The sequence below is a fragment of the Homo sapiens genome, chromosome 10 (genome assembly GCF_000001405.40).
Source record: "Homo sapiens chromosome 10, GRCh38.p14 Primary Assembly".
Classification (NCBI taxonomy): Eukaryota; Metazoa; Chordata; class Mammalia; order Primates; family Hominidae; genus Homo; species Homo sapiens.
Window position 1 is genome coordinate 98,123,900 of NC_000010.11, and position 9,398 is coordinate 98,133,297.

Consider the following 9,398-nt stretch of genomic DNA (forward strand, 5'->3'; position numbering starts at 1 on the left):
TCACATGGCTGGGGAGGCCTCACAATCATGGCAGAAGGCAAATGAGGAGCAATGTCATGTCTTACATGGTGGCAAGCAAGAGAGAGCTTTTACAGGGCAACTCCCATTTATAAAACCATCAGATCTCATGAGATTTATTCACTACCACTAGAACAGTATGGGGAAAGTGCCCTCATGATTCAGTTATCTCCACCTGTTCCCACCCTTGACACATGGGGATAATTATTACAATCCAAGGTGAGATTTGGGTGGGGACACAGCCAAACTATATCATTCCTTCCCAGGCCCCTCCCAAATCTAATGTCCCCACATTTCAAAACGAATCATGCCTTCCCATCAGTCCCCCAAAGTCTTAACTCATTTCAGGATTAATTCAAAAGTCCACAGTCCAAAGTCTCATCTGAGACAAGGCAAGCCCCTTCCACCTATGAGCTTGTAAAGTTAAAAGCAAGTTAGTTACCTTCTAGATACAATGGGGGTACAGGCATTGGGTAAATACACCCATTCCAAATGGGAGAAATTGGCCAAAATGAAGGGACTACAGCCACCATGCAAGTCCAAAATCTAACAGGGCAATCAAATCTTAAAGCTTCAAAATGATCTTCTTTGACTCCATGTCTCACATCCAGGTTATGCTGATGCAAGAGCTGGGTTCCCATGGTCTTGGGCAGCTCCATCCCTCTGGCTTTGCAGGGTATAGCCCCACTCTTGGCTGCTTTCATGGGCTGGCATTGAGGGTCTGCAGCTTTTCTAGGTGCACAGGGCAAGCTGCCAGTGGATCTACCATTCTGGGATCTGGAGGATGGTGACCATCTTCTCACAGCTCCACTAGGCAGTGCCCCAGTGGGGACTCTGTGTGAGGGTCCCCACCCCACATTTCCCTTCTGTACCGCCCTAGCAGAGAGGTTCTCCATGAAGGCTCTGCCTCTGCAGCACACCTCTGCCTGGACATTCAGGCATTTCCATACATCCTCTGATGTCTAGATGGAGGTTCCCAAACCTCAATTCTTGACTTCTGTGCACCTGCAAGCTGAACATCACATGGAAGCTGCCAAGGCTTGGGGCTTGCACCCTCCGAAGCCATGGCCTGAGCTGTACCATGACCCCTTTTACCCACGGCTGGAGCAGCTGGGATGCAGGGCACCAAGTTTGTAGGCTGCACATCCTGAGCAGCCTACATGGGCCTGTCTCAAGAAACCATTTTTTCCTCTGAGACTTCCAGGCCTGTGATGGCAGGGGCTGCTGCTCAAAGGTCTCTGACATACCCTGGAGACATTTTCCCTATTGTCTTGGTGATTAACATTTGACTCCTTGTTATCTGCAGCAGGCTTGAATTTCTCCACAGAAAATGGGTTTTTCTTTTCTGCTGCATCATCAGACTGCAAATTTTCCAAACTTTTATGCTCTGTCACCTCTTGAATGCTTTTCCGCTTAGAAATTTCTTCCACTAGATACCTGAAATCATCTCTCTGAAGTTCAAAGTTCCACAGATCTCTAGGGCAGGAGAAAATGTCACCAGTCTCTTTGCTAAAATGTAGCAGAGTAACCTTTATTCTGGTTCCCAACAAGTTCCTCAGCTCCATCTGAGACCACCTGAACCTGGACTTCATTATCCATAGCAGTATCAGCATTTTGGTCAAAGTCATTCAACAAGTCTCTAGGAAGTTCCAAACTTTCCCACATCTTCCTGTCCTCTTCTGAGCTCTCCAAACTGTTTCAACTTGTTACCTAGTTCCAAAGTCACTTCTACATTTTTGGGTATCTTTACAGCAGCACCCCACTACCTGGTATCAATTTACTGTATTTGTCTGTTCTCACACTGCTAATAAAGACATACCTGAGACTGGGTAATTTATAAAGGAAAGAGGTTTAATGGCCTGAACTTACAGTTCCACATGGCTGTGGAGGCCTCACAATCATGGCGGAAGGCAAAGGAGAAGCAAAGTCACATCTTACATGGTGGCAGTCAAGAGAGAGCTTGTGCAGGGACCTCCCATTTATACAACCATTAGATCTCATGAGGCTTATTCACCACCACCAGAACAGTACAGGGGAAATGGCCCCCATGATTGAATTATCTCCACCTGGCCCCACCCTTGACACGTGAGGATTATTACAATTCAAGGTGAGATTTGGGTGGGGACACAGCCAAACTAAATCAAACCAGGAAGTGGTGCTTTCAAGAATGCATCAGCTGCAGTCCTATAGGGAGGATGCAGACTTGCCCTAGGTTCACCTGGTTAAGTATTCATGTTTCTCAGGCAGTGGGTAAGGCCATAAAGCTCCCAAGAGATTATGACCTTTGTCTTTGGCTACGAGAGCGGGTAGAGAAAGACCACCAGATGGGGGCAGGGATAGGTGTGTGTCTGAGCTCAGTCTTTCCTTGGGCGGGGCTTGCTGTGGCTGCTGTGGGGGATGGGGATGTGGTTCCCAGTCCAGTGGAGTTATATTCCCAGGGGGATTATGGCTGCCTCTGCTGAGTCATACAGTCTGCCAGGGAAGTGAGGGAAAGCTGGCAGTCATAGGCTTCACCCCACTCCCATGCTGCCCACAGTTTTAAAGGCTGGTCTCACTCCTACTGTGCCCACCCCCTCCCCAAACAGCACCGAGTCTATTTTCAGGCAGCAGGTGATCAGGACTGAGAACTTGCCCCAAACCACAAGCCTTCCCATTAAGAAAGTAAGCAGACTCACAGTTTTTCCATGTCTCAGAGAGCCTGCAGCAGCGATCCAGTTCCTTCAAAGGGTCTGTGGATTATCTCGGCTTTCCTGGTATGTTCCTGTGGTAGTTATTGGAGCAAAAGTTTATGACATGAGTCTCCACATGCTGCTCTGTCCCTCTAAACAGGGACTACAAGCTAATCCCGCCTCCTATCTGCCATCTTAATCCCTTCCTGCATGTTTTAAATCATCTCTAGGTTACTTACAATACCTAATACAATGTAAATGCCATGTAAACAATTGTTAATTGTTATACTGATTGTTTAGGGAATAATGACAAGAAAAAAAGTCTGTACAGGTTCAGTACAGATGCAACCATCTTAAATCTAACCACATCTTCTATCCAAGGTTGGTTGAATCTGTAGGTGCAGAGCTCATAGACATAGAGAGCCAACTGTATATGCAATGCACTAGGTGGCAGTTGATTGGGGACCATGACTTTTTGAGTGCTATGGGGCCAAGGGAGAGGGTCTGAAACTGAGAAGTTGTGTCCTGGGAAGGAAACCTTGAAGAAGAGTCACTCAGCCTCAACCAATCTCCTGACTGAAAAAAGAATCAGCATCTCAATTTAAAAAATCTAATTGTTCCTCACCCTGATCTGTCCCTTAGGAGCAAAACTTTATGTAATATACATTTACCTTTTTCCTTGTTAGCTAGTTTATGAAACCATTTCCTATCCATTATATGACTAAATATTCATGATTACCTGATGAGACAGGTGGTCTTGGTGGGTCTCCATTTTACAGATGAGGAAACTGAGTTTTAGTGAATCATCTAAGGTTACATGCTTTATAGCAGCAGGCATTTGCAGGGTCCTAGTCTCAAGTTTGTTTCTGTATCCATTTGCTTTGCCTTCTAGCTCCTGCTAGGTGCTCGGCACAGCTTCTAATCAATACCATGGGCCCCTGGCAGCACCTTGGGGTGAGAGATGTGGCTTGCTGCACCTCCTGAGATAGGAGTTGAGATGTCAAAATCAGGGCATTGTTAGAACCAAAAAGTCCAGCTCTAAATATCTGACTGGCTTGGTCAGAGCTGAGCTGTGAGGTTTTAAGTGGAAGAAATTACCAGAGTATTTATCAATTACAGCTCTAAGGAGTCTTTGTTCTCAGATAATAGAGTCAAGATGAATGTGGCGTAATATTGCCATAATATTGCTAAGCCCTACCCCTGAAATGGGCAATGTGGCATTGGATAGTTTAGACATGCAAGCCTTGAGATCAAGAAGTGGATAGACCAGACTTGGTGCAGTAAAGCTAATTGTGAGGGAGTGTATGGATATGGTGTGGGGTGGGGAGAAGTGCTGGTATAACTCACAATTGGATATTACCATCTGATGCTATGACCTCAAGCACAGAGATTCCACCCAAGCAATAGTTGCCACCATGCTCTTCTTAAGATGGCTTGAATTAGAGCTAGAGTTCTCTGGGTTCCTAACCTAGACTTTGGGGTCTTTCAGAGTTCTCTATCCTGCTTTTCCTCAGGAATTAAATGGAAGCTACGTGTTGATGGCCTGGCCTCCTATTGTCCCCCAAAATCGTACCTTTCGTCCAGTTGATGCCTGAGACCCCTGCGGTTCTAAATAGCAGCACTTGCCCACACTAGCCATGAGGGGAGAATCCAATACCTAAAAGCCCAGTAAAATTTGGATCCTCTGTGCTCATGAACTGAAAGTCACAAAAAGAAAGAATCCTCAAGTTAGGAGGGACCGATCAGAGCCCACATATCCAAGGGGAAGGCTTATTTAATCCTGCTCTCCTGATAACATTTTCTCCTCCACCTTCCATACCATACGGGTAATTATGGTATTATATTGGGAGAATACTGAAACTCAGAGGAGATTGTAAAATGTTCCCCAGCAGGGTTTGGTCTTTTATATAACCTTATAAACACCCTTTTTGTCTTATATATCCCTTGTTCAAACTGTCCATTTTGAAGCTAGGCTGCAGATAACCCTGCCCTAATCACCGAGCAGACAGGCAACATACAATTCCTAAGTGTTTGAGAACCAGATATCCTCTATTAACTATCTCAGGACTTGAAAGGGTCACACTGCTGAAAAAGGGCACTTGGCACCAGGAACATCTGTATTAGAGGCAGTATACAACAGTAGTTGACAGCTCAGACTCTGGAGCCACACTGTCTTTGTTCAAATCTCAGGTTTGTCACTTATTAGCTGCATAACCTTGGGCATATTATGTAATCTCTCTCTGCCTCAGCTTCCTCCAATGTAAAATGATGGCATTTATAGATCCTATCTGGTAGGGCTGTGTGAGGATTGACTTCAATCAGGCATGTAAAGGGTTTAGCGCAGCTCCTGGCACACATTGAGCCCTTGTTAACTGTTAAATGCTATTCATTACGAAGCGACAGGTGTCACTTTCCTCCTCTAGGGTGTTTCTTTCTCTTCCTTATGTCTTTGAGACCCACCCCTGACCTTCTCCCTACTTTACATTTCTGAAGCCAGCTGCTCCAACATTTCTTCCTTCTTGTCCAGGATGCAAAAGAAAAACAGTTCGCACACGAGCAATTAAAAAAAAAAATATCGCTTATAGCATCACTCTAAACCAATATACCACAGCTCATTATCCAAGAGCTAAGGGCCTTTTAAGCCAGCAATTTCTTATTTATTCTGTTAAAAAAAACACACACAAGGTCCTTTGGTTTCATATTCCTTTATTGTATTTTGTAAGGCACTGAGCACATACTGGCTACTATGTAAATGTGAAATACTCTAACAATAGTAACTGAGACAGATGAGAAACTCGAGAAAGCAAAGTCACCATTTTGAATTTAGTGTTTTATTGATGGGCTGAGTGATTTGGGAGAGACAGTGTGGCTCCGAGGCTAAAGAGCCCGTAGGGAATCAGAGGGCAGAGGTTTGAATCTCAGTCATAGCAGCAGCTCTGAGTAGCTCTGGCGACCCCAGGCAAGCAGCTTCCTTCCCCTGGACCTCAAATTCTCCCCATAAATACTGGGCTTAATGCCACAAAGCCATCTCCCAGGGATGTTAAGCTGGGGCTGCTGTATGTGGTTGTGCACATTGTGCACTGCACAGGGGCACCAGCTGAGGGGGTAAGTGGTAGCTGAAATCTCGTCCATATTCTGCACCCTGGTGATGGGCCATGACCATCTGAAGGAAGGGAGCACTTTTTCCTAATTTTCATAACACTACTATATGGGTTAGTAGAGGCCCTGTATTAAGGAATGTGACAGTGATGGGGCACAGAGTTTAGCAAGTAAAATAAATAAGTTTATTCGACACAGTTATAGTATACCTACTATGTGCAAGGCCCAATTCTAGGGGCTGAAGATACAGAGATGGATATAACCTATTAGTGCCCTTGGGTCCTCTTTTTCCTTCACCAGTCCATCCTCTCCTATATTCAATCCATCAGCAAGTCCTGTTGACTCAAAAGATCAAATACACCCACTTCTCTCCATCCCTCTGCAAGCACTTTGTTTCATTATTTCTCACCTAGCCTACTGCAATAGATGGGCTCCCACTTCTACTCCAGTCTTCTAAACCAAAGCAGGAGCAATTGCATTAAAATATGAATCAGATAACATCATCCTCTTTTTAAAACCCCCTTTTTGGTGGCTATAATTTAATCCAGGGTTCTGACCATGGCCTTGAGGCTGTGCATACCTGGCTCTAATTACCACCTCAGGTCATCTAGACCACTTAAACTACACTCTCTCTACCCCAGGAAAACGGACCACTCTGTCCCTCAAACAGCCTGGCTCTTTCTTTGTGTGGTCTGATCCCTTTGGCTGGAGCACACTTTCCCCGGTTCTCCATCTCTTTCTCAACCTTCAGTGCTCAGTGGAAAGGTTGTCTACTCAGAGAGGTCTTCTTAGACCACCTTGTTAAAGTAGTGTAGTATTTTATGTCCATCACTGTAGTCATTGGTTCTTGCATTCCTATAAAGAACTACCTGAGACTGGGTAATTTATAAATAAAAGAGGTTTAATTGTCTCATGGTTCTGCAGGCTCTACAGGAAGCATGGCCAGAGAGGCCTCAGGAAACTTACAATCATGGCAGAAGGTGAAGGGAAAGCAGGTGCATCCTACATTTCTGGAATAGGAGAAAGAGAAAGACGGCGAGGTGCCGCACACTTTTAAGCCATCAGATTTCATGAGAACTCACTGTCACGGGAACAGCAAGGGAGAAATACGCCCACATGATCCAATCACCAGGCCCCACCTCCAACATTGGTGATTACAATTCGACATAAGATTTGGATTGGGACACAAATCCAAACCATATCAACTGTCATTCATGGCCAGGATGTTCTACTGCACAGCAGCCTGCTCCATTTGAAAGTACAGAGTTCTTTGCTTATTTCTTGTTTTATCTGCTAGATTATAAGCTCCGTTACAGTAGGGACCATGCTTGTGTGTTCTCCACTGCGTGCCCCCTCATCACCTTGCTAAGTCTCTGGTGCACAGTAATAAAAATCAATACATATTTGCTCAATGAAGTTGATACAAGGAATTCTTCCAATAGAGGAGTGGACATTACAATATAATGTAGATGTGTGATATGACAAAGGCATTGATATGCTAGTAAACTGGCTCTTCGACAGCAACAACAACAAAAAGAAGCCCTGATTTGTCATTTGCTGATTTCCACGGAGTATTTACACACACACACATTACAAATCACAGCAGATTTCAAACTACCAATGGCTAAAACCGGCTTGCAAAAATTCCTGAACATCTAACAGTTGTCTCTTTAAAGCTGGTATGAGGCTGGGGGTGGTGGCTTATGCCTGTAATCTCAGCACTTTGGGAGGCCAAGGTGCAAGGACTGCTTTAGCCCTGGAGTTCGAGACCAGCTTGGGCTACAGAGTGATAACTCGTCTCTATTAAAAAATTAAATAAATAAATAATAAATAACAAAGTTGGTATGAGCTGGCTCTAGCATATCACTGGAAGAGAGGCCAACATGGGTGGGATGAGTGTCCAGGAAAGGAGCACTAATTTGTCTTGGTGGGGGTGGGGGGCCGAGTTCAGCAAAGGCTTCCTGGAGGAGATGATACTTGACTTGTGTTTTGAAGGGTGGGTATGCTGGCTCTGGCCTGATACCTCTAAACTGAATAACATAGTCCAGTTCCCCATAGGCCACATTTCACTGTTTCTGGGTCCCCTACTGAGCCCACTGCTGTAATGCCTGAGGCTTATCATCTGACTCAGCACAATCCTCAGAAAATCCTTTCGTGTGGCTGGTGTTCTACTGGGTTTCCTCTGAATCCCACAGAGGAGAATTACATAGCAGTATAAGTTAGTCAAGGGAGAAGGGAGAGGGTTTTCCAAACAGAGGGAGAGCTTATACAAAGGTTAAAGAGCAAGCGCTACAGCAGTTTGGTAAATCTAAGGTGTCTATGGGAGGGAGAAGAAGGAGATTAGCTCCTGACAGGCTTTGTTTGATAGGGTAAGGAACATAAACTGATTCCCAATCTGGGCTGGGGCAGGTGGGAGAGAAGGGGAAAGGGACCAATTATAATACTTTTCCTCCATAATTCTTATTACAGCTGGTAACTATGGGTTTTTTGTTGGTTTTGATTTTTGGTATGAAATCATTTAATATCTGTCTCTTCCAAGAGAATGTAAACTCCACAAGGGCAGGTAATATTCGGTTCACTGTTGTTTTCTCAGTACCCAGCACTGGTACATAGCAAGCAACAAAATGTATTTTGTTGAATGACTGAATAACCAGGGAACTTTATTTTATTTTTAATTTTTTTGAGACAGGATTGCTCAGGCTGGAGGGCAGTGGCACAATCATGGCCCACCATAACTTTATTCTTGGGCTCAAGCAATCTCCCCACCTCAGCCTTCCAAGTGGCTAGGACTACAGGCTTGTGCCACCATGGCTGGCTAATTAAAAAAATTTTTTTTTGCAGAGATGAGATCTCCTTATGTTGTCTAGGCTGGTCTTGACCTCCTGGGCTCAAGTAATCCTCCCACCTCAGCCTCCCCAGTTGCTGGGATTACAGGCATGAGCCACCACAGTGGGCCTCCTCGGGAATTTTTTAAAAAATGCCCATGTCCACCTACCCTACAGTAAGATTTCCTATAAATCTTCTTTCACTGAACCTCCCAACCACAATACTGGATTCTGATTGCCTGGTGAGTTTTTCCTGCCCACTGCACAGACAAAACCAATTCACTGAGACCATGGCAGAGCAGTAAAGAATTTAATTGATGACAGAGTTATCTTAAATCAAACTCCCTGAAGGTTCAGAGGTTAGGGTTTTTATGGACATTTTGGTGGGCAGGGGGCTAGGGAATGGGTGCTGCTGATGGGTTGGGAATGAAATCATAGGGGTGTGGAAAACAGTCCTCATGCTCTGAGTCCACCTCTGGGTGGGGCCACAGGAGCAGCTGAGTCATGAGTTAGGAGTCCTGAAGAAGGAACAGATTCAAGGAGTACTTGGGAGATAGTGAGAGAAGAAAGAGACCCTCTCATATTGTTTTATATTGTTTTATACTCAGTACCTGTTTTAAGAAAAAAAACAAGGAAGTGAAACCAAAGGCAGGCAGCCCAGCACCAGGCACCAGACCCAAAACCAGACCTGAAACCAGGCCTGGGCCTGCCTGGCCTAAACCTAGTAGTTAAAAATCAACTCATGACTTAGCATAGATTCCAGGCATTGTATGGAAGAACATTGTAC

The 9,398-nt window shown here is 44.9% G+C and overlaps 1 annotated feature.

Moving 5' to 3' along the window:
• Positions 1,886 to 3,085: an enhancer, noted in NCBI's record as "MED14-independent group 3 enhancer chr10:99885542-99886741 (GRCh37/hg19 assembly coordinates)". NCBI's record gives its function as "activates an origin of replication core promoter dependent on BRD2, BRD4, P300/CBP and CDK7 cofactors, and independent of MED14, by STARR-seq in HCT116 cells {active_cell/tissue: HCT116}" and the evidence as "EXISTENCE:reporter gene assay evidence [ECO:0000049][PMID:35650434]".